This window comes from Homo sapiens, chromosome 17 (genome assembly GCF_000001405.40).
Source record: "Homo sapiens chromosome 17, GRCh38.p14 Primary Assembly".
Lineage (NCBI taxonomy): Eukaryota > Metazoa > Chordata > Mammalia > Primates > Hominidae > Homo > Homo sapiens.
The window spans coordinates 30794208-30820031 of record NC_000017.11 but is presented as its reverse complement, the minus strand read 5'-3'; the positions used below and the strand labels follow the sequence as shown (position 1 = coordinate 30820031).

Here is a 25824-nt window from a genome sequence, read left to right as displayed (position 1 = left end):
TACTAAGATGTAAATACCAAAGAAATTAACTCCCACTGTCCTTAAATATTCATTTGTTCATTCACTCAATAAATATTTATTGGGTGCCTACTGTAGGGCTGAGAAACTTCTAGGTCCTAGATTCTGTGTTCAAGGAAATAGATCACTGCCCTCATGGATTTATGCTTTCCTCTTTCCTTTGGTGGCTGATACTTAGGTTACTACCCCTAAAAACAAAACAAGTAAGAAAAATATAAGTTCTATTTGTGTATTCATTTTTATATTTCACTTCTATTATATCTTTCATCACTTGTCCTATTTCTACAGCATTGGCCTTTCTGTTTGTTATAAGTAGAGATCCAGCCTGGCCAATATGGTGAAACCCCGTCTCTACTAAAAAAATACAAATTAGCCAGGTGTGGTAGCGTGCACCTGTAGTCCCAGCTACTCAGGAGGCTGAGCCAGGAGAATTGCTTGAGCCGGGCAGGCGGAGGTTGCAGTGAGCCAAGATCACACCACTGCACTCCAGCCTGGGCGACAGAGCGAGACTCCATCTCAAAAACAAAAACGTAAGTAGAGATAACTGATCAAAATGTCACGTAGTGATGTCAGCTGGCCACTCAGGCCTCACAGAGTGGCACCACCTTGATGACAATGCCAAAGTCAGGGCCTGGTCTTTAATCTTTGTAAGTCCAAAAACTTCATCTTGGTACATTATCAAAGGGGAATTAGTTGAGGTACTGGAGGTGTCTACAGTGAGAAATGCCAGTATTTTAGTCTGTGTGTTGTAGTTCACTCTATAAAATGACTATGTTGGCTTTCATGTACCTTTTGGTATTCTGATTCAGTATTTCTCAGGACACTGACAAAAGCAAGTCTCTGCTCCTTCAAGAGCAAATGGTAAGATCCTGGTACCTAATTAAGATACTAGTTGGTGGCTGGGCTCAGTGGCTCACGCCTGTAATCCCAGCACTTTGGGAGGCCGAGGCGGGTGGATCACATGAGATCAGGAGTTTGAGACCAGCCTTCAACATGGCAAAACTCTGTCTCTACTAAAAATGTAAAAAAAATTAGCCAGGTGTGGTGGAATGCACCTGTAATTCCAGCTACTCTGGAGGCTGAGGCAGGAGAATTGCTTATACCTGGGAGATGGAGGTTGCAGTGAGCCAAGATGGCACCACTGCACTCCAGCCTCAGCAACAGAAGAAGACTGTCTCAAAAAAAAAAAAACACTCAAAAGTTATTTCAAAAAACCAAGACAGGAAGTCTCAGTAGCTTAGCAAAGAAAAGAAAGCTGTTGGCCAGGCGTGGTGGCTCACACCTGTAATCCCAGCATTTTGGGAGGCTGAGGCGGGCGGATCACCTGAGGTCAGGAGTTTGAGACAAGCCTGACCCATACGATGAAAACCTATCTTTACTAAAAATACAAAAATTAGCCGGGTGTGGTGGTGGGCGCCTGTAATCTTAGCTACTCGGGAGGCTGAGGCAAGAGAATTGCTTGAACCCAGGAGACGGAGGTTGCGGTGAGCCGAGATCATGCCACTGCACTCCAGCCTGGGCAACAGGAGTGAAACTGTCTCAAAAAAAAAAAAAAAAGGAAAAGAAAAGAAAGCCATTATTGCTCCTTTTATCTCCCACTTCCCCTTCTGTTACCCATTTTGAAAACACTACAAAAATCTGTGTATAATTTGTTACAGTAGTAGTATTTAAAGTGTCCCTATTATAGTATTCTAAGAAAAGGTTAAATCCAGATACAGGGAAAACCAAGAACAGATGAAATAATTTTTTTTTTTTAATGAAGTTTCGCTCTTGTCGCCCAGGCTGGAGTGCAATGGCTCAATCTTGGCTCACTGCAACCTCCACCTCCCAGGTTCAAGCAATTCTCTTGCCTCAGCCTCCTGAGTACTTGGGATTACAGGTGCCCGCCACCACGCCCAGCTAATTTTTGTATTTTTAGTAGAGACGGGGTTTCACCATGGTGAAGGCTGGTCTCAAACTCCTGACCTCAGGTGATCCGCGCATCTCGGCCTCCCAAAGTGCTGGGATTACAGGCATGAGCCACCACACTCAGCCCAGATGAAATAGTTTTAAAATAACCTACTACTTACAGACAACTGCAGTTAACTTTTTTTTTTTTTTTTTTTTTTTGGGATGGAGTCTCACTCTGTCGCCATGCTGGAGTGCAGTGGCGCCATCTCGGCTCATTGCAACCTCTGCCTCCTGGGTTCAAGCCATTCTCCTGCCTCAGCCTCCTGAGTAGCTGGGACTACAGGCGCCTGCCACCACACCCAGCTAATTTTTGTATTTTTAGTAGAGATGGGGTTTCACCACGTTGGCCAGGATGGTCTCCATCTGTTGACCTCATGATCCACCTTCCTCGGCCTCCCAAAGTGCTGGGATTACAGGCTTGAGCCACCCTGCCTGGCCTGCAGTTAACATTTTGATGTATCTTTCTATACATATTATTCTGCAAAGTTGAGAGACTACTGTATATGCAACTTTGTATCAATTTTTAATTTTTATTAACATTATAAGCATTTTGTTAGCATTATAAGAATTTTGGTAACATCATAAGCATTTACAAGAATATTTTTCCCATGCAAAGCTTTTTTTTTTGAAGACGGTCTCACTTTGTCACCCAGACTGGAGTGCAGTGGCACCACCTTGGTTCACTGCAACCTCCACCTCCCGGGTTCAAGCAATTCTCCTGCCTCAGCCTCCTGAGTAGCTGGGATTATAGGCGCATGCCACCACACCCGGCTCATTTTTTGTATTTTTAGTAGAAGGAGGTTTCACCATATTGCCCATGCTGGTCTTGAACTCCTGAGCTCAGGCTGTCCACCCACCTCGGCCTCAAAAAGTGCTAGGATTACAAGCGTGAGCCACTGTGCCTGTCCCACAGCCTCATTTTTAATACAGAGGTGGAGTCTATTGTAGATATTTAAAGGAACATTTGTTGGTGGTAGGTTGCAATGTATTGATTCTGGTACCCCAAAATACTGGAAGCAAAACTAATTGCAAATAAGGGGGGTAAAAATAAAAGCCACACATATACAGTCAAAACAACAGGGATATATTCTCAGAAATGTGTCATTGGGCGATTTTGTCATTGTACAAACCTAGATGGTATCATCTGCTACACACCTAGGCTATATGGTATATTCTATTGCTCCTAGGGTACAAGTCTGTACAGCATGTTACTATACTGAATACTGTAGATAGTTGTAACATAACTGTAAGTGTGCATCTAACATAGAAAAGGTGCAGTAGGCATGCTGGCTCACACTTGTAGTCCCAGCACTTTGAGAGGCCAAGACGGGAAGATCTCGAGCCCAGAAGTTTGAGACCAGTCTGGGCAATATAGGGAGACCCCCATCTCCACAAAGAAATTAAAAATTAGCCAGGTGTGGTGGTGCATGCCTGTGGTCCCAGCTACTCGGGAGGCAAAGGTGAGAGGATTTATTGAGCCCAGGAGGCTGAGGGTGCAGTAAGCCATGATCACACCACTGTACTCCAGCCTCGACAACAGAACTAGACCCTGTCTAAAAAAAAAAAAAAAAAAAAGAAAGAAAGAAGATACAGTAAAGACATAAAAATATAGTAATATAATGTTATGGGACTACCATTATGTATGTGATTGTCATTGTCCAAAACATCATTATGTGATGCTTGACTGTATTTGTTTGCAAAAGACCACATATTTACATTGGTTTTTGAGTCAGTCTTTTCACCAATAAATCTTTTTACAAGTTGTCTTTTTTTTTTTTTTTTGAGATGGAGTCTTGCTCTGTCACCCACGCTAGAGTGCAGTGGTGCGATCTCGGCTCACTGCAACCTCTGCTTTCCGGGTTCGAGTGATTCTCCCACCTCAGCCTCCCGAGTAGCTGGGACTACAGGTGCATGCCACCATGCCCGGCTAGTTTTTCTATTTTTAGTACAGACGGAGTTTCACCATATTTGCCAGGCTGGTCTCGAACTCCTGACCTCGTGATCTGCCCGCCTTGGCCTCCCAGAGTGTTGGGATTACAGGTGTGAGCCACCATGCCCGGCCTACAAATTGTCTTTTTTTTTTTTTTAACTTTTTATTTCCTGAACAACACCAATGTACAGAAATCATCTTTAAATATGGTACTCTGAAAGCTGCTGGTTGAGTTTAAAACTCCCCAGAAATATAGAAGGAGGTCAAGGAGAATTAAAACAAGCCATTCTGGCCGGGCTCAGTGGCTCACACCTGTAATCCCAGGATTTAGGGAGGCCAAGGCGGGCGGATCACCTGAGGTCAGGAGTTCGAGACCAGCCTGGCCAACATGGTGAAACCCCGTCTCTACTAAAAATACAAAAAAGTTAGGTGGGTGTGGTGGTGCGCCTGTAATGCCAGCTGCTCAGGAGGCTGAGGCAAGAGAATTACTTGAACCTGGGGGTTAGAGGTTGCAGTGAGCCGAGATTGCGCCACTGCACTTCAGCCTGGGCAACAGAGTGGGACTGCATCTCAAAAAAAAAAAAAAAAAAAAGAAGAAACTAGCCATTTTCTGGTCGGGCAGGGTGGTTTACTCCTGTAATACCAGCACTTTGGGATGGCAAGTTGGGTGGATTACCTGAGGTCAGGGTTTCAAGACCAGCCTGGCCAACATGGTGAAACCCCATCTCTACTAAAAATACAAAAAGTTGGCCAGGCGCAATGGCTCACACCTGTAATCCCAGCACTTTGGGAGGCCAAGGCGGGTGGATCACCTGAGGTCAGGAGTTCGAGACCAGCCTGGCCAACATGCTGAAACCCCATCTCTACTAAAAATTCAAAAATTAGCCAGGCTTGGTGGTGGGTGCTTGTAATCCCAGCTACCCGGGAGGCTGAGGCAGGAGAATTGCTTGAACCTGGGAGGCAGAGGTTGCACAGAGCCAAGATTGCGCCACTGCATTCCAGCTTGGGCAATAGTGCAAGACTTCATCTCAAAAAAAAAAAAAAAAAAAGAAAGAAAGAAAAAAGAAAGAAAAAAATGTGTGTGAATGTTATAGAGGTATGTTTTTGTGTGTAGATTTTTTTGTTTTTTAAAGACGGAGTTTCGCACTTGTTGCCCAGGCTGGAGTGCAATGGCGCAATATTGGCTCACGGCAACTTCCGCCTCCCGGGGGTTCAAGTGATTCTCCTCCTTCAGCCTTCCGAGTAGCTGGCATTACAAGCATGTGCCACCACACCCGGCTAATTTTGTATTTTTAGTAGAGATGGGGTTTCACCATGTTGGTCAGGCTGGTCTCAAACTCCCGACCTCAGGTGATCCACCTGCCTCGAGCTCCCAAAGTGCTGGGATTACAGGCATGAGCCACCATGCCCGGCAATTTTGTTTTAGTGTAGATTGTAATGTATATAATTTTGATAGAGAACTATTTTTTTTTTTTTTGAGGTGGAGTCTTGCTCTGTCACCCAGGCTGGAGTGCAGTGGCACGATCTCAGCTCAGCGTAACCTCTGCCTCCCGGGTTCAAGCGATTCTCCTGCCTCAGCCTCCTGAGTAGCTGGGATTACAGGCTCCCACCACCACGCTCGGCTAATTTTTTTGTATTTTTAGTAGAGACAGGGTTTCGCCATACTGGCCAGGCTGGTCTCCCAACTCCTGACCTTAGGTGATCCGCCTGCCTCGGCCTCACAAAGTGCTGGAATTACAGGCATGAGACACTGCTCCTGGCCGATAACTATTCTTATTGCTATAAATCTGGTAAAGAATATGACTAATTTGTCATCTAAAAAGCCAAACAAATATAAGACAGCCTTTTATTGTTATTACTATTATTATTATTTTTTCGAGACGGAGTCTTGCTCTGTCACCCAGGCTGGAGTGCAGTGTCTCAGTCTCGGCTCACTGCAACCTCTGCCTCCTGGATTCAAGCAATTCTTCTGTCTCATCCTCCCGAGTATCTGGGATTACAGGCATGCGCCACCAAGGCCAGCTAATTTTAGTATTTTTAATAGAGACGAGGTTTCACTGTGTTGGCCAGGCTGGTTTTGAACTCCTGGCCTCAAGTGATCTGCCCGCCTTAGCCTCCCAAAGTGCTGGGATTACAAGTGAGAGCCACCACACCCAACCCAGCCTTTTTTTATTATTGAGGGCTATCAGTGAGTCACTAATATTTGCAGCTATTTTAGTTGTTCGTATTAGCTGTGAAAGCTTGAGAAACTAAATTTTCCTAATCTTCAGTTTCCTTCTGTGTAAAATGAGGATAAGGGTAGTATCTGCTTTACCTGGCCATTGTGGGAATTAAAATGAGAAACTTATTTAAAATGCTTAGCACTGGGTGTGGGGAGGGGGGAGGGATAGCATTAGGAGATAGATATACCTAATGTTAAATGACGAGTTAATAGGGGCAGCATACCAACATGGCAGATGTATACATATGTAACAAACCTGCACGTTGTGCACATGTACCCTAAAACTTATAGTTATTAAAAAAAAAACGCTTAGCACAGTGCCTAGGACATAGGAGATTCTTAATTAATGTCAGCCATAATAATACTAAATATTATTGTTATTCAAGGTGACATCCCCTGCTCCTCCAACTGACAACTTATTCTTTAAATGTCTCCTACTCTCTTTCCCATCATAATGCTCTTTTATGCTCTGATGGCAGTTTGTGGCTGCCCCAGATATGTAAGAACATAATTCATTTCATTATAGTTACTTTTGCTTGCCATCCCCCTTACCAGAATGAGAGTTTTTGAGGTGAAGACCATGCTTTATTCATCTTTATAACCCTAATTTCTGACACATACTAGGCCTCAATAAATGTTGAATGAATGCCTTTATGAATGTTGTGGGTGTAATTTGGCAGACATTCTTTTTTCGATTGTCTTGGTCTTGATGATGTGCACTCTATTAGTATAGATAATCAAGAATTAAGCGTGTATTTTTTTATATGATTTGTTTACTGCTACGTAATAAAACTGTGCCAAAGCTTAATGACTTAAAAAGCAACCATTTTATTTGCTTACAATTCTGGAAGTTGACTGGGGCTCAGATAGGTAGTTCTCCTGGTTTTGCTTGGCAACACTCTTGTGGTTGCAGTTGTGGCTGGAATGTCTGACAGAGAACATTCATTTATATTTGGAGACTTAGTATTAGCTAGTCTCAGTTGGAACACTGGCATACCTGGGCTTTGGTGCCAGTCTCTCTCCCTGTCTTCCTCCCTTCCTGCCTTTTCACCTTCCTGTCTCTTTCCCCTTGTCCTCTCCAGAAAGATAGACATACTTCTTTCATGGTGGCCTCCAAAAAGCAGATGTTGACAGGTCTTCTGAAGGATGAGGCCTGGAACTGGCACAGGATCAGTTTCACTCTATTGCTGTGCACGTGTGACTGCATTGCTAGTCACAGGCCCAGCCCAGATTCTAGGGGAGAGGACCACACAAGGCCACGAGTAGTTGGAAATGTGAATTCCTGGTTCATTGGGGGCCACTACTGTAACAGATTACCAAATCATATAATATACGTTTTCTGTTTGAAAGTTCTCAATTAAGCACTTTTTTTTCTAAAAAAGTCTTAAGTGTAAGAGAAACAAGGAGAAACATAGCAGTGCTTACAAGTCCATTCTTGAGTCAGACTGAATTCAAAATCTCTGCCACTTCACTAACTTTGTGATATGGCCAGTTTCATCTCTCTGACTCCCATGTTACTCATCTACACAGGTTCTCTTCACAGGGTTATGGTAGAGTTTAAATGAGACCATAGGTACAGATTTACCTGGCATACAGGTACTCAGTAGATAATAGCTGCTGCTGTATTGTTGCTGTTTCCATTATTACTAATGACTGATGTCTTGGTGTCAGTACAAAGACAAATAGCTAATGTAATATACATTTCACAGAAACTGAGAAAAAATATGTTGATTAGCGTTTTCAATTTCAGTTGACTATTTTTTATCTTTGTCTTTATTTTTATTTTTATTTTTATTTTTTTTTTAGACGGAGTCTCGCTCTGTCGCCCAGGCTGGAGTGCACTGGCGCAATCTCAGCTTGCTGCAAGCTCCGCCTCCCCCGCTCACGCCATTCTCCTGCCTCAGCCTCCCGAGTAGCTGGGACTACAAGTGCCCGCCACCAAGCCCAACTAATTTTTTGTATTTTTAGTAGAGACGGGGTTTCACCATGTTAGCCAGGATGGTCTCGATCTCCTGACCTCATGACCCGCCCGCCTCGGCCTCCCAAAGTGCAAGGGTTACAGGCGTGAGCCACCGCACCTGGCCTTTTTTTTTTTTTTTTTTTTTTTTTGAGACAGAGTCTCGTGCTGTCCCCTGGGCTGGAGTGCAGTGGCACGGCCTCGGCTCACTGCAACCTCCACCTCCCAGGTTCAAGCAATTTTCCTGCCTCAGCCTCCTGAGTAGCTGGGATTACAGGTGCCCGCCACCATGACCAGCTAATTTTTTTGTATTTTTAGTAGAGACGGGGTTTCACCATGTTGGCCAGGCTGGTCTTGAACTCCTGACTCCGTGATTCAACTGCCTCAGCCTCCCAAAGTGCTGGGATTACAGGCATGAGCCGCTGTACCCGGCTGTCTTTTATTTTTGATAAATATGTTTTTCTGTTTTTTTTTGTGGTGTTTTTTGTTTGTTTGTTTGTTCGAGACAGAGTATTGCTCTCTCACCTGGGCTGGAGTACAGTGGCGTGATCTCGGCTCACTGCAACCTCCACCTCCTGAGCTCAAATGATTCTCCTGCCTCAGCCTCCGAGTAGCTGGGATTACGGGCAGGCACCACCAAACCCAGCTAATTTTTGTGTTTTTAGCAGCGACAGGGTTTCACCATGTTGCCCAGGCTGGTCTCAAACTCCTGAGCTCAGGCAATCCACCTGCCTCAGCCTCCCAAAATCCTAGGATTACAGGCGTAAGCCACTGTACCTGGCCAGTTTTTAATCAGTATGTTCTTGTTAGCAAATAGTTTTGTGTTTTATATATGTGGTTTTCTTTTTTGTTTGTTTGGTTATTTTTGAGGCAGGGTCTCACTTTGTCACCCAGGCTGGAGGGCAGTGGTGCAAAAACCACCCACTGAAGCCTCAACCTCTCAGGCTCAAGTGTTCCTGTCACTTTAGCCTCCCAAGCAGCTGGGACTACAAGCCATGCCACCACACACAGCTGATTTTTTGTATTTTTTACTAGAGACAGAGTTTTGCCATGTTGCCCAGGCTGGTCTTGAACTCCTGGACACAAGTGATCCGTCCTTCAAAAGTGCCGGGATTATAGGCATGAGCCACCGCACCTGGCCTCTACATATGTCTTTTTAGTAACTAAACTCTGGAGGAAAATATATCAGTCACTGTTGTTTTGGAGGGTTGTGAAGGAAATACTCCCTAAGCTTTTGGGTGGCTTAGTATTGAAATACAAACTTGATGAATTTTTGGCATTTTGTGAGCTCTTAATCATGTTAAAATTTTAAAACAGTTGCTTTGGGGTTATATTCAGCTGTAGTGGAAACTTTGTAAGTTTTGTTTTTTATTATTTATTTATTATTTTTTTTTGAGGTGGAGTCTTGCTCTATTGCCCAGGCTGGAGTGCGATGGCACTATCTTAGCTCACTGCAACCTCCGCTTCCCGGGTTCAAGTGATTCTCCTGCCTCAGCCCAGTAGCTGGGACTACAGGCGTGCACCACTACGCTTGGGTAATTTTTGCATTTTTAGTAGAGACGGGGTTTCACCATGTTGGCCAGGCTGGTCTCGAACTCCTGACCACCTGATCTTGTGATCCACCTGCCTGGGCCTCCCAAAGTGCTGGGATTACAGGCATGAGCCAATGTGCTCAGGCCAAAACTTTGTAAGTTTTAATGGTCTGTTACATTAAAGGTTTTAGTGGCAGATTATTTCAAAATATTATTGATCAACATAAACAATGTATATTACAGTTTCCTGTTTGAAATCTTGTCTGTCATTTGTATTCTTAAATCTATTTTGTTACAAATCACCACAGTTGTTTTTGCCTTGAATGACTAGGTAGCATTTGAAGCTGATTGGTTGTCCACCACACAATTCTTTACACAGGGACAGGAAATACTACGTGTTATACCAAGAAGTGTCTTTAGCCAATACATAATTTACAGATTTATCTGGGAGCTCTTTTAAAATAGTGTTCTATGGCCGAGCGCGGTGGCTCACACTTGTAATCTCAGCACTTTGAGAGGCCGAGGCAGGAGGATTGCTTGAGTCCAGGAGTTCGAGACCAGCCTGGGCCACATGATGAAAATCCGTCTCGACAAAAAATACAAAATATAGCTGGGTGTAGTGACACATGCCTGTGGTCCCAGCTACCTGGGAGGCTAAGGTGGGAGAATCACCTGAGCCCAGGAGTTCGAGGCCGCAGTGAGTTGTGATTGTACCACTGCTCTCCAGCCTGGACGACCAAGTGAGAACCTGTCTCAAAAAAAAAGTGTCCTGTAAGTACAAAACAGCATGGTGTAATGAAAGAGCATAGTCTTTGGAGTTAGACTGTTTCTGGCACTGCGAAGCCTTGGGTAAGTTGTCTTCTTTCTCTTCTTTGGTCCTCACTTTCTGAAAGTGCATTGTGAAGATTTATTGAGTTAACAGTGAACGCATGGAACCATTGGTACCACATCAAATATGAAGAAATTCACTCAGCAGTGGAGCTGCATTTTTAAATTAGTTTCATAAAGTCAAGCAAATGAACTTGATTAGTTACATGATTGGATTAAAGGTGACTAGGCTTTAAATCATGAAATATTTCAAGGAAAAGAAAATGATCCCATGGTGGTATCAAGTTTCAAATGGCAGTGGTTGGGATTCTATGAGCAAAAGGGACCAAATTTACAATGAGAGTACAGGAGGTGAATTTGGAAATTGAGTCTCATTTTTTTAGCCCTCTGTCTGTTTTGTGTTCACTTACTTCCTTTTTTCTGAGGTTCTGAAACAAAAACAAAACGTAGGCTCTGCAACAGCTGAAGGAGCTTTTGAATTCTTTCTGAAGAGGAAATTGACTTTACCTAACCAATGCACTTCCTGTGTATGCTATATCCGCTAAAGAGCAAGACAGGACCTCAGAGGCACAGTGCTCAACTGCAGAATTTCCTCTTGGCCATTCGAAATGTATTACAGCGTTCTGACACAAGGTCTTCACTTATTCTGGTATCTGTAATATGTATACAAAGCAACTGAGGGTCCTGTTAAAAATACAGATTTGGCCGGGTGCGGTGGCTCATGCCTGTAATCCCAGCACCTTGGGAGGCTGAGGCGGGCAGATCACAAGGTCAGGAGTTCGCGACCAGCCTGGCCAAAATGGTGAAACCCCGTCTCTACTAAAAATACAAAAAAATTAGCTGGGCTTGGTGGCGCATGCCTGTAATCCCAGCTACTAGGGGGGCTGAGGCAGGAGAACTGCTTGAACCTGGGAGGCGGAGGTTGCAGTGAGCCGAGTTGGCGCCACTGCACTCCAGCCTGGGCGACAGAGCAAGACTCAAAAAAAAAATATATATATATACAGGTTTGGCTGGGCGCGTTGGCTCACGCCTGTAATTCCAGCACTTTGGGAGGCTGAGGCAGAAGGATCACCTGAGGTCAGGAGTTCGAGACCAGCCTGACCAATATGATGAAACCCCATCTCTACTAAAAATACAAAAATTAGCCAGGCATGGTGGCATGCGCCTGTAATCCCAGCTACTCAGGAGGCTGAGACAGGAGAATCACTTGAACCCGGGAGGTGGAGGTTGCAGTGAGCCAAGATTGCTCCATTGCACTGCAGCCTGGGTAACAAGAGCAAAACTCCATCTCCAAAAAAAAAAAAAAAAAAAAAAAAAATATAGGTTCTAGGGGAGGAGGAGGAAAGAAAAAAAATTCATGTTCTGATTTAGCAGTTCTGGGTGGGGCCTGAGATTCTGAATTTCTAACAGTATCCCAGGGGTTGTGTTAAAATCATAAGGTATTCTCTCTTTGGTTCTTTTAGAAAGTTCTTTGAAACACACATGATTAACTGCGTTTTCACTCAACAGCATTTGTTTACCAGATGCTATGTAGATGAGGGCCCAGTTTGCAAAGATCTCATAGTTGAATGGTGAGCTGAATCAAGTGCAATTTGGGTTTATGGCCTTTCTTTCTTTTTAAAATTTTTACTTGGATTTATTTCACAGAAATTCTTTGGTAAATACAGAAATTAGTTAACAATTAATTTAGGATTTCTCTTTGTGATTTAAAGAATTATTTTACTAACTGCATAAATATTATTATAACTGCGTTAATGTCAAATGGAGAGAAAAGGGCTGGATGAGGTGGCTCACGCCTTATCCCAGCACTTTGGGAGGCTAAGGTGGGTGGATCACCGGAGATCAGGAGTTCAAGACCAGCTTGGCGAAACTTTGTCTCTACTAAAAATACAAAAATTAGCCAGGCGTGGTGGCATGCGCCTGTAATCTCAGCTACTCAGGAGACTAAGGCAGGAGAATCTCTTGAACCCAGAAGGCAGAGGTTGCAGTGAGCCGAGATTGCGCCACTGCACTCCAGTCTGGGCCACAAGAGTGAAACTCTGTGTCAAAAAAAAAAAAAAAAAAAAAAAAAAAAAAAAGGAAAGAAAATTGTTTCTATGGTCTGCCCACCCAGTAAATGATACTGCTCTTTTTCTGTTTTAGTCCTTGGGCATGGGCATTTTTTGTTTTTACATGGTCGTGAACATTGCTGGGAAACAATATTGTATTCTGCTTTTTAAATTTAGAGAGAATTTAGAGAATAAATAGAAAGTTTTTAAATCTCTATATTAACTGTTGAAATATTGTCCTTTATTCATATTTTGATATGTTCTTTCTTGGTGGATTTTTCTTATACTTTAAACTTTCTTGATAAGAGAAAGTTAACAAAAGGGTTATGGTGGTAAACAATATGTCATATGAAACTAAGATAATAATATCTAGAAAGCAAAGTATGTTTTTGCTTTAACTTATCGGAGTGGCTTATAGTTAGAATTTTCCCATTAAGCGAGAGAAAATGAATTATATGTTACCTGAATTGTTTTTTGAGAAGAGGGCCTTGCTCTGTCGCCCAGGTCAGGTTGCAGTGGTGATCCTCCCACCTTGGCCTCCCAAAGTGCTGGGATTACAGGCATGAGCCACCATGCCTGGCCTGTTATCTGAAGTCTTTAAAATAAAAATCTGGACCAGGTGCAGTGGATCACTCCTGTAATCTCAGCATTTTGGGAGGCCAAGGTGGGAGGATTGCTTGAAGCTGGTTCAAGACCAGCTTGGGCAACATAGCAAGATCTCGTCTCTACAAAAAGTGAAAAATAAAATTAGCCAAGTGTGGTGGCCCGCACCTATAAGCTCAGCTACTCAGGAGACTGAGGCAGGAGGATCACCTGAGCCCAGGAGTTCAAGGCTGCAGTGAGCTAGGATGTGCAACAGAGTGAGACCCTGTCTCTGAAATAAAAGAAGAAAAATCTGGTGTCTGTATAAACAACCTATTTATCTTCATAATATATTTGACATGAAGATTTTCCTGTCATATCCCCTAGAATATGGGTTCTTAATCTGAGATCAGTAGATTTAGGGCAATGTTTCTCAAATTGTGGGCTACAGAATCACAGGTGTGCTTGGAAAAAATGAGAACTCCATCCATACACTCCTTTAGCCCCTCCTGTCATTTTCTGGTTCAGTAGGTCTGGGATGGAACTCTGCAGTCTGAATTATAACAAGTAGCCTACATGATTCTTCTGCAAACGAAGTTTCATAATTACTGCTCCAGGCAAGCCATGGTTTGGCTCTGAGGGAATTTGTAAACTTCTGCAATTGAATAATTTTTTAGGGTATAGATTATGTATTTTTTGGGGAAGAGGCTTTTTCTTCTCTTTCAATAACTTTGAAAGGAAGAGGCTTTATAAACCTCTCATTTAGATTGACAAAGAGCACTATAATTCAAAAAGGATTAAGTCATTGTCCCAGCTCTGCCTCCTACAGGCCTCTTTGGTTTTTAAATAATTTTTGGTTTTCTTTTAGCATAATGAGGGCATTTTATCCATGAGTTTTTTTGTTTGTTTGTTTGTTTGTATTGTGGCTTTTCATTTTTATTTAGAGACAGGGTCTCACTCTGTCACCCAAGCTAGAGTGCAGTGGTGCAGTCACAGCTTACTGCAGTCTCGACCCCCTGGGCTCAGGTGATCCTCCCACCTCAGCCTCCTAAGTAGCTGGGACTACAGGCATGTGCCACCATGCCCGGCTAATTTTTGTATTATTTGTAAAGACAGGATTTCTCCATGTTATCCAAGCTGGTTTCAAACTCTTGGGCTCAAGTGATCCTCCTGCCTCAGCCTCTCAAAGTGCAAGGATCATAGGTGTGAGCCACTGCACCTGACCATGGCTTGCTTTTTTTTTTTTTTTTTTGAGACGGAGTCTCACTCTGTTGCCCAGGCTGGAGTGCAATGGCGCGATCTCAGTTCACTGGAACCTTCGCCTCCCGGGTTCAACCGATTCTCCTGCCTCAGCATCCTAAGTAGCTGGGATTACAGGCATGCACCACCAAACTCAGCTAATTTTTTTGTGTTTTTAGTAGAGATGGAGTTTCACCATGTTGGTCAGGCTGATCTTGAACTCCTGACCTCATGATCCACCCACCTCGGCCTCCCAAGTGCTGGGATTATAGGCATGAGCCTCCATGCCCAGCTGACCATAGCTTTTTAATCTACCACTTCTTTGCTGCTTTTCAGTAAAATGAATTTTAATCCCCTCATAATTAAACAATTTTCAGTATTGAAACGTACACTTTTCAAGAACAACTTTGTATAGATAATAATTTATAACTTTTTTTAGCGAGTATAACAATGTGCCATTTATTTTACCCACTGTAGTACCTAGATTATTTTAATTTATCCTCACAGCAACTCCATGAAGTAACTATTATTTATTTCTCTTTTTTGAAATGGCGTCTCACTCTGTTGCCCAGCTGGAGTGCAGTGGCGCAATCTTGGATCCCTGCAACCTCCATCTCCCAGGTTCAAGCAATTCTCCTGCCTCAGCCTCGCAAGTAGCTGGGATTACAGGCCCGCACTACCACGTCCAGCTAATTTTTGTATTTTTAGTAGATACAGGGTTTCACTACGTTGGCCAGGCTGGTCTTGAACTCCTGACTTCAAATGATCTGCCCTCCTCGGCCTCCCAAAGTGCTGGGATTACAGGCATGAGGCACTGCGCCCGGCTGAAATAACTATTATTATGCTCATTTGACAAATAAGAAAATTGAGGCATAGAATACTTAATTAACTTAACCAAATTGACATAGTTTGTGAATGATGAAACCAAGATTTGGCTTATTCTATCTGACTTGAAGGGCAGTTCTGTGTACTTCTGTCTGTTTGTGCAAATGAATCACATTTGGTTTATCAATGAATGGAAGATGTATATATACAATGGAATGCCATTCAACCTTAAAAGAGAAGGAAATTCTGTCATTTGTGACAGCATGGATGAACCTGAAGGACACTATGCTAAGTGAAATAAGCCAGATACAGAAATAAACATACTGCACGATCTCATATGTAGAATCTAAAAAGGTCGAAGTCATAGAAGCAGAAAGTAGAATGGTGCTTGCCAGGGATGGAGTTGGGGATGGGGAGATGTTGGTCAAAGGGTACAGAGTTTCAGTTATTTAATATGTGTAAATTCTAGAGAGCTCAAGTACAGGATAGGGACAATAGTTAATAATAGTGTAATGTATACTTGGAATGTGTTAGGAGAGATCATAAGTGTTCTCACCACACACAGAGGTAACCATGTGAAGAGATGGACATGTTAATTAGCTTAACTATAGTTAACAGTTCACTATGTATATGTGTATCAAAATATCACACCTTAAATATAATTTCAGTTAATCTTTTTTTTACTAAATTGAAGAAGATGGTTATACAGTGCTTTTAGATTCATGTGAATTATACCTTTGGATTAGCCTTTTTTAAAGATTCTGATTTTGAGTATTTTGTTATTTCTTTTTAGATCAAAGAAAGTGCATCACAGACAAGGGATGTTCTCAAACAGCATTTTAATGATTTAAAGGGAACCCTTGGAAAGCTCCTGGATGAGCGATTGGTGACCCTTTTGCAAGAGGTGGACACCATTGAACAGGAGACCATTAAACCACTAGATGACTGCCAGAAGCTCATAGAACACGGAGTCAACACTGCAGAGGACTTAGTCCGAGAAGGTGGGGGACCAGGGAGCCTGTTGTATTAGTGCATTCGTCCATTTTCACACTGCTGATAAAGACATACCTGAAACTGGGCAATTTACAAAAGAAAGAGGTTTAATGAACTTACAGTTCCATGTGGCTGGGGAGGCCTCACAATCATGGCAGGTGAAAGGCACATCTCACATGGCGGCAGACAAGAGAAGAGAATGAGAGCCAAGCGAAAGGGGTTTCCCCTTAAAATACCATTAGATCTCATGAGAGTTATTCACTACCAAGAACAGTGTGGGAGAAACTGCCCCCATGATTCAATTATCTCCCACCGGGTCCCTCCTGCAACACATGGGAATTATGGGAGTACAATTCGAGATGAGATTTGGGTGGGGACACAGAGCCAAATTATATCACAGGTTAAATGTGGTTCGTTCAGATTGACATTTTGCTGATTTCTCAGGATAGCAGCAGGCTTCTTGCCAGCTGTGGGGTTCTTAGAATGTTCTTACCTAGAGACAGTTTGTAATATAGGATGACAGATATACCGTTAGGTATCGCATGGCAAGTGCAGTTGAAGTGTTAGTTATAATTAGTTATAAAACAAGAAAGAATAAATGATATGGGGCACATTGAGATGTTTTGATACAGGCATGCGGTGTGTAATAATCACATTGTGGAAAATGGGGTATCCATTCTCTCAAGCATTTATCTTCTGTGTTACAGTCAATCAAATTATATATATATATATATTTTTTTTTTGACACAGGGGTTTTGCTCTGTTGCCCAGGCTGGAGTGCAGTGGTGCTGTCAGAGCTCACTGCAGTCTTGACCTCCCTGGCTCAGGTGATCCTCCCACCTCAGCCTCCCAAATAGCTGGGATTACAGGCGCGTCCCACCATGCCTGTAATTTTTTAGTATTTTTAGTAGAGACAGGGTTTCACCATGTTGCCCAGGCTGGTCTCGAATTCCTGGTCTCAAGCAATCTTCTCATCTTGGCCTCCCAAAGTGCTGGGATTACAGGCAAAAGCCACCACAATTACAGTCTCCATTGTTTTATTTAGAAAGTTTAAAAAAATGTGATTGGTGTTTACTCCTATCTTTGCCAATTATTTCCATTGAGTCATGCCCTGCTGCCTTCCTTTCTTCATTATACCACCTTCCTTCAACAGAGATCTTTGTCAGGCACATAACATAAACAAGGGGGCCAGGTGTGGTGGCTCACGCCTGTAATCCCAGCACTTTGGGAGGCTGAAGCAAGTGGATCACTTGAGGTCAGGAGTTTAAGACCAGCCTGGGCAACAGCCTGTCGCTACAAAAAAAAAAAAACTTAGCTGGGCATGGTGGCATGCACCTGGAGTCCCAACTACTTAAGAGGCCGAGGCGGGAGGATCCCTTGAGGCCAGGAGATTGACACTGCAGTGAGCCGTGATTGCACCACTGCACTCCAGCCTGGGTGACAGAGTAAGACCCTGTCTCAAAAAATATAAAATAAGACTAAGAATAAAGGCCGGGCACGGTGGCTCACGCCTGTAATCCCAGCACTTTGGGAGGTGGAGGTGGGCGGATCATCAGGTCAGGAGATCAAGACCATCCTGGCCAACATGGTGAAACCCCGTCCCTACTAAAAATACAAAAATAGCCGGGCGTGGCAGCGCATGCCTGTAGTCCTAGCTACTCGGGAGGCTGAGGCAGGAGAATTGCTTGAACCCGGGAGGCGGAGGTTGCAGTTAGCCGAGATTGCACCACTGCACTCCAGCCTGGGTGACAGAGTGAGACTCCCTCTCAAAAAAAAGAAAAGAATAAAATAGGTGAGAGTTCTTTCCTTTGGGATTCAGAGCCCAGTGAGAGAGAGATACATGCTAAGAGATCAAGACCTTATTGGAGCATAGAGGAGGAAGTTCTTAACTTTGTCTGGAATAGTGTGGGATAGCTTTCTGTAGGAAGAGTTCCACAGAGGCTTGAAGCAATTCATCCAGCAGACATAGGAAAAAGAGGAGGTAACAGCATGATTCCAAGCAGAAGTAACATTATCATAAGTGGAGTGAATGGCATATTCAAGGATTAGTTGAAGCATTTTAAGCAGCAGAGTGACAGGATCAGATGTGCATTTAAAAAAAAAATGACCCTGCCTATTTGGAGACTATGTTAGAGATTGTAAGACTAGAGGGAAAAGAGACTGATTAAAAAGTTATTAGAGGCCGAGGCCAGGCTAACACCTATAACCCCAGCACTTTGGGATGTCAAGATGGGAGGATCACTTGAGGTCAGGAGTTTGAGACTAACCTGGCCAACATGGTAAAACCCCATCTCTACTAAAAATACAAAATTTAGCCAGACGTGGTGGTGGGCACCTGTAATTCCAGTTACTCGGGAGGCTGAGGCAGGAGAATCACTTGAACCTGGGAGACAAAGGTTGCAGTCAGCCAAGATCACAACACTACACTCCAGCCTGGGCAACAGAGTGAGACTCCGTCTCAAAATAAAAAAAAATTATTAGAAACTGGGCACGGTGGTTCATGCTTGTAATCCCAGCACTTTGGGAGGCTGAGGCGGGTGGATCACTTGAGCCCAGGAGTTCAAGACCAGCCTGGGCAAGATAATGAGACCCCATCTCAAAAAAAAAGTTATTAGAAAGTAATCCAGGTAGGAATGGTAAAGGCGGTGGCTGGTAAAGATGAGGCAGGGCTGATTTTAAGAGATTTTGAGCCAGGCACAATGGCTCACACCTGTAATCCCAGCACTTTGGGAGCCTAGACAGGAGAGGAGGATCATTTGAGGTAAGGAGTTCGAGACCAGTCTGGGCAATGTAGTGAGATTGTCTCTAATTTTTTTAAAAAAAAATAGCTAGGCGTGCTGAGCACAGTGGCTCACACCTGTAATCCCAGCACTTTGGGAGGCCGAGGCAGGCATATCACAAGGTCAAGAGATCAAGACCATCCTGGCTAACACAGTGAAACCCCATCTCTACTTAAAATACAAAAAGTTAGCCAGGCATGGTGGCAGGCGCCTGTAGTCCCAGCTACTCGGGAGGCTGAGGCACGATAATGGCGTGAACCCAGGAGGCGGAGCTTGCAGTGAGCCTAGATCGTGCTATGGCACTCCAGCCTGGGCGACAGAGCGAGACTCCGTCTCAAAAAAAAAAAAAAAAAAATTAGCCAGGCATGGTGGCACACACAAGTTGTCCCAACTACTCAGGAGGCTGAGGTGGGAGAGCTTGAGCTATGATTGCAGCACTGCACTCCAGCCTGGGCAACAGAGCAAGACCCTGTCTCTTAAAAATAAAAACAAAAAAACAAGACAGAGTTTTTTTTTTTTTTAAGAAGTAGAATTATTGATGATTTTACTGAGCAGTGACTGTTATCTGTAGATGATTACCTACATATGTGATGGAGGGGAAAGGAAAGGATTTGTGATAACAAAAATCAGCCTACTTTTGGATTCTGAATAAATAGTGGTGCTGTTTTTGACAAAGGAATTGAAGGAGAAGGCGGGTGCTTAGTACGTAGTTAGGCATTTGGCTTGGGCATGGTGAGTTTGAGGTGCTTAAGATGGAAATACGGGTATGATTCTTAGGAGAGAGATCATACCAGGAGATGTCAGTATGGCAGTTAATGGCATATATATCAAATCTGAATCTATTGGAATAAGTACAATCATCAAGGGACACCGTGTAATGTGAGAAGAGCAGATGAAAGAGATTAGAACGCTAAGGGTCACCAACATTTAAAAGTCATTTGAGGAAAAAGGAGCTAGGGAAGGAGACTGAATTCCATCTCTTCTGCAGAATGAGTGCTGGGAGTGGTGTGGGAAAAAGGCGTGGATGATTCACATGGCTGTCACTCCACCTGGAAGTTAATCTTCTTTTGGTCCCACTTAGAATATAGTATGGGTGTTATCTTGACATTGCTGGTTACATTTTTGTCTTGTCTTCAATGAGAAGTGTTTATTTGCCACTGACCATAACAGTACTTTTGAGAAAATTCTAGCAGTACCATGAAATGTCTTTCCTTGGTGGCTTTGCATTTGGAAACAAACCCAGAAGCAGTGCACCACGGGCCAGGAGTGTACACTCATCACCCTGAGGACTGATCATTTGTTTTTATTTTAGAAGATAAATCCTGGCCGGGCGCGGTGGCTCGTGCCTGTAATCACAACACTTTGGGAGGCCGAGGGGGGCGGATCATCTGAGGTCAGGAGTTCAAGACCAGCCTGGCCAACATGGTGAAACCCCGTCTCTACTAAAAATACAAAAATTAGCTGGGCATGGTGGTGGGCACCTGTAATCCTAGCTACTCGGGAGGCTGAGGCAAGAGGTTGCAGTGAGCTGAGATTGCACCATTGCACTCCAGTCTGGGCGACAAGAGCAAGACTCCATCTCAAAAAAAAAAAAAGATAAATCCTGGCTGGGCATAGTGGCACATTCCTGTAGTCCTAGCTACTTGGGAGGCTGAGGCGGGAGGATCCCCTGAGCCCCAGAGTTTGAGGTTGCAGTGAGCTGTGATTATACATCACACTCCAGCCTGGGTGACAGAGTGAGACTCTGTCTCAAAAAGAAAAAATCCCTTTGAGGCAGTGTGAGTGTTACAGCATTTGATACTTGAATATTTTTGTATGTCCAAAATTTAATTTAATTAATTAACTTATTTATTTTTGAGATGGCGTGTTGCACTGTTGCCTGGGCTGGAGTGCAGTGGCACGATCTCAGCTTGCTGCAGCCTACGCCTCGCAGGTTCAAGCGATTTTCCTGCCTCAGCCTCCCGAGTAGCTGGGATTATAGGCGCCCGCCACCACGCCCAGCAAATTTTTTGTATTTTTAATAGAGACAGAGTTTCACCATGTTGGCCAGGCTGGTCTAGCACTCCTGACCTCGTGATTTGCCCACCTCGGCCTCCCAAAGTGCTGGGATTACAGGCGTGAGCCACTGTGCCTGGCCTATGTTTTTTAATTAAAAAAAATTATTATACATCTCAGCAGCAGAAGGAAACTTTAGGAATATTTTTAATGTCAAACTCTTTCCTATTCTCCTGAGGGATAGAAACTTACTTATGGAATTTTGAGGATTTTATTTATTTATTTACTTATTTTTGAGACAGAGTCTCACACTGTTGCCCAGGCTGGAGTGCAGTGGCACGATCTTGGCTCACTGCAACCTCCACCTCTCGGGTTCAAGCGATTCTAGTGCCTCAGCCTCCCTAGTAGCTAGAACTACAGGAGCGTGCCACTATGCCCAGCTACTTTTTGTATTTTTAGTAGAGACGGGGTTTCATCATGTTGGCCAAGCTAGTCTTGAACTCCCAACCCCAGGTGACCCACCAGCCTCAGCCTGCCAAAGTGCTGAGATTATAGGCATGAGCCACAGTACCCGGCCATGTCTCTGTTTTTCTTTTGGTGAAGGAGAAGGTCATATGGTCTCAAAAAACTTGAGTAACTACAGGGCACATTTAGATGGAAAAGAGTTCTGGCAGTGTTCTTCAGGGCTGTGGAAGGACATAGAAGTTGGTCATTTTCATATCATATGCCTCTATGTAACTTTTTTTTTTGGCGGGGGGGACGGAGTCTCGCTCTTTTGCCCAGGCTGGAGTGCAGTGGCGTGATCTCGGCTCACTGCAACCTCCATGTCCCGGATTCAAGTGATTCTCCTGCCTCAGCCTCCCTAGTAGCTGGGAATACAGGCACCTGCCACCACACCCAACTAATTTTTGTATTTTTAGTAGAGACAGGGTTTCACCATGTTGGCCAGGATGGTCTTGATCTCCTGACCTCGTGATCCACCTGCCTCCGCCTCCCAAAGTGCTGGGATTACAGGCGTGAGCTACCGCACCCAGCCTGACATTTTCTTTTTATTGTTCTGTTGAATAATTTGTAATCTGATATATGATACTCTTTTAGGAAAACATAGATGCATCATTTGGCTTTTCAAGCCTTATGCCCAGCCTGGGCAACATAGTGAGACCTCATCTCTACCAAAAAAAAAAAAAAAAAAATAGCTGGGCATGGTGGCGTGCACGTGTGGTCACAGCTACTTGGGAGGCTGAGATGGGAGGATTGCTTGAACCTGGAAGTTCAAGGCTGCAGTGAGTTATGATCCTACCACTGTGCTCCAGCATGAGTGACAGAACAAGACCCAGTCTCAAAAAAAAAAAAAAAAACACCCTATCCCCTGTTGCACCTCTCAGGGCAATATTTTGTACTGGCTCCTATTGAAGTTCATAATGATTCTGTAGGAGAGATGGAAAGAAGTCCCTGGGCTTTCTGCTTTGCCTAAAATTGGTTGATTTCCTTGTATAGAGTAGATAGATTTTTCATCTCTGGCAAAATGTTGCCACTGTATATCCCTTTTCCTCTTGGATTTGATCTTAGAGTCACGTCTAAAATAGTTTCTACTTTAACTTTTTGGGAATTTGACTGTGGCATCACTTAAGAACTTATTTGCAAGAACGCTAGAGACCCACCCAGACATGAGTTGTGTTGATTACTTTATATGTGACCATTTTCATTGTTCTAGTTCTCTTATTCTTGATTGTAGGTGAAATCGCCATGCTTGGTGGTGTGGGAGAAGAGAATGAGAAACTGTGGAGCTTTACCAAAAAGGCCTCGCACATTCAGTTGGACAGGTAAAAGAGTTTGTGCCTTTTTGACTTACTTTTAAGCATTTAAACTATGTCTGCTTTTTTCCTCCCTCTGTTCAAGATTCTCATTAAGGGAGATAGAGAATATATATTTCAAGGTTTTCAGACCATGCGTGGTGGTTTACACCTGTAATCCCAGCACGTTGGGAGGCCAAGGCGGGTGGATTGCTTGAGGCCAGGAGTTTGAGACCAGCCTGGCCAACATGTTGAAACCCTGTCTCTACTAAAAATATAAAAATTAGACGGGCATGGACCTGTAATCCAGCTACTTGGGGAGGCTGAGACAGGAGAATTGCTTGAACCCAGGAGGCAGATGTTGCAGTGAGCCAAGTTTGTACCACTACACTCCAGCCTGGGCAACAGCAAGACTCCATCTCAAAATAAGTATAAAATAAAATAAAAAATTATCCGGGCATGGTGGCGTGCGCCTGTAAGTCCCAGCTACTCGAGAGGCTGAGGCAAGAGAGTCGCTTGAATCGGGGAGGTGGAGGTTGCAGTGAGCTGAGATCGCACCACAGCACTCCAGCCTAGGGGACAGAGTGAGACTCTGTCTGAAAAAAAAAAAAAAAAGCGTTTCACTGCCCATTACCACTGTTACTAATGAAATAGTTGTGATTATAATCCTTGGTATAGTATTACTACACATTTTTTCAATCCAATATATAAAAGAATTGTTAAATTTTAGAAATTATCAATGTATTGTTGAAATGGAGTCATATTCCAGTAAACCAGATCTTTTGGCTTAAACTGGACAGTTATGATCCTACCAATTTTCTGTCTTACTTATATTTATTTGAAAAGAGAATCTTTGTGTAACATCTTGCAAATCCCCTACTGCCATGAGAATTAATTACTGGGGGCTTCAGGATCTTTCAAGCATGTGACTGCTCTAAAATATTTCTTGTATTTTTTAACTCTCAGTTAGAGGTCTCATAACACATGAGCTTTGTTTCCTCAGCTTACCAGAAGTACCTTTACTGGTTGATGTGCCTTGTTTATCTGCTCAGTTGGATGACTCAATTCTTAACATAGTGAAAGACCACATTTTTAAGCATGGAACAGTAGCATCTCGCCCACCAGTACAGATAGAAGAACTAATAGAGAAACCTGGAGGCATCATTGTACGATGGTGTAAGGTATGTAATTCAGAATTCTAGAAATGACTTCCACATTATGGGTTTGCGATTTGGAGGCCTTTCAGATTTTTTCGTTGACTACTTTTAAATACATTCTTTTCTTCTCAAACAAAAATCTCTTTTACTTTACAGTTAAAATGAAGTCACATGGAACACTGAGGTAGCTCTTCCAGTTTTATTTTTATTTTATTTATTTATTTTTTGAGACAGAGTTTTGCTCTTTCACCGAGGCTGGAGTGAAGTGGCGTGATCTCGGCTTACTGCAACCTCCATGCCCTCCCCCGCCTGCCGCTTCCCCCGGGTTCAAGCCATTCTCCTGCTTCGGCCTCCTGAGTAGCTGGGATTATAGGCACCTGCCATCACACCTGCCTAATTTTTGTATTTTTTGTAGAGACGAGGTTTCACCATGTTGGCCAGGCTGTTCTTGAACTCCTGACCTCAGGTGACCCACTCGCCTCGGCCACCCAAAGTGCTGGGATTATAGGTGTGAGCCGCCGTGCCTGGCCTTTTTTTTTTAAATGAAGCCTTGCTGTGTCGCCCAGGCTGGAGTGCAGCGATGCAACCTCCGACCTCAGGTGATCTGCCCACCTTGGCCTCCCAAAGTGCTGGGATTACAGGTGTGAGCCACTCCGCCTGGCTGACATTTTCTTTTTTTTTTTTTTTGAGACAGAGTTTCGTTGTTGTTGTTCAGGCTGGAATACAATGGCACGATCTTGGCTCACCACAACCTCCGTCTCCCGGGTTCAAGCAATCCTCCTGCCTCAGCCTCCCAAGTAGCTGGGATTAAGGCATGCGCCACCACACCTGGCTAAGTTTGTATTTTTAGTATTTTTGTATTTTTAGTAGAGACAGAGTTTCTCCATGTTGGTCAGGTTGGTCTCAAACTCCCGACCTCAGGTGATCTGCCCACCTCGGCCTCCCAAAGTGCTGGGATTACAGGTGTGAGCCACTGTGCCCAGCTGAGATTTTATTAAAAGGAAATTTTTTTTTCTTTTTTTATAAACATGCTGTTGTTATTTTCTAACAGGACTGTCATTCCATTTTTATTATTTTTCCTATCAGTGGACCTAGTTATTTCCAGTTTTTTGCTATAAGTATTTTTACTTGTGTTTCTTTATGGACATATGTGAAGTTTGTAAAATATTAATATTTACCTAGGTGTAAAATTATGAGGTCTTCTTAGAGTATTGGATCCATACGCTGATAGGTAATAACAAACTTTCCACAAGATGATTCTATCAATTTAGCCTTCCAAGGAGTATATGAGTTTCTGTTATTCCATATCTTGACCAATAATTGGCATTGTGAGACTTTATATTTTTGCCTAAATGTACCTTGTTGTGGTTTTATTTATTTGTTTGTTTTTGAGACAGGGTCTCACTCTGTCACCCAGGCTGGAGTACAGTGGCACAATCATGTCTCCAGTCTCAATCTCCTGGGCTCAAGTGATCCTCCCGCCTCAGCCCCCAAGTAATTGGGACTTCAGGCATGTGCTTCCACAGCCAGCTAAGTTTTGTAATTTTTTGTAGAGATGGGGTTTTGCTGTGTTGCCTAGGCTGGCCTCAAATTCCTGGGCTCAAGTGCTCCACCCGCTTCGGCCTCTCAAAGTGTTAGGATTATAGGCATGAGCCATCATGTCTGGCCTTGTTGTGGTTTTAGATCGTATTTGCCATATTACAAATTAGGTACAAATTAGGTTGAATATTCATAATATACATTTTTGGCTATTTATGTTTCTTCTCCTGTAGAACGCTTATTTATGTCTTTTACCCATTTTTCTATTGGGTGGCTAATTAACATACAGAATATATGCAGGACCCCTAAAAATTAATGGGGGTTCTGTATACTGTATGTTAATTATCTCTTGGTTATTATGAATGATGTATGGTTGTGGGAGACTTACTGAATCTTGAATGTTTTATCTTTGGCATTGATTAAAAAACATGCCATTT

At 43.4% G+C, this 25824-nt stretch overlaps 1 protein-coding gene across 2 annotated transcripts in view; it reads left to right on the top strand.

Moving 5' to 3' along the window:
• CRLF3 (cytokine receptor like factor 3) overlaps positions 1 to 25824 on the top strand; it is a 42009-nt gene that overhangs the window by 4661 nt on the left and 11524 nt on the right. Inside the window, exons 2-4 of one of the 2 annotated variants that reach the window (NM_015986.4) lie at positions 15924 to 16131; positions 22634 to 22721; positions 23695 to 23872. In NM_015986.4, the coding sequence (NP_057070.3) occupies positions 15924 to 16131; positions 22634 to 22721; positions 23695 to 23872 (474 nt within the window). The remainder of the gene's footprint in view (positions 1 to 15923; positions 16132 to 22633; positions 22722 to 23694; positions 23873 to 25824) is intronic. The other variant, NR_073118.2, reaches the window with a different exon arrangement.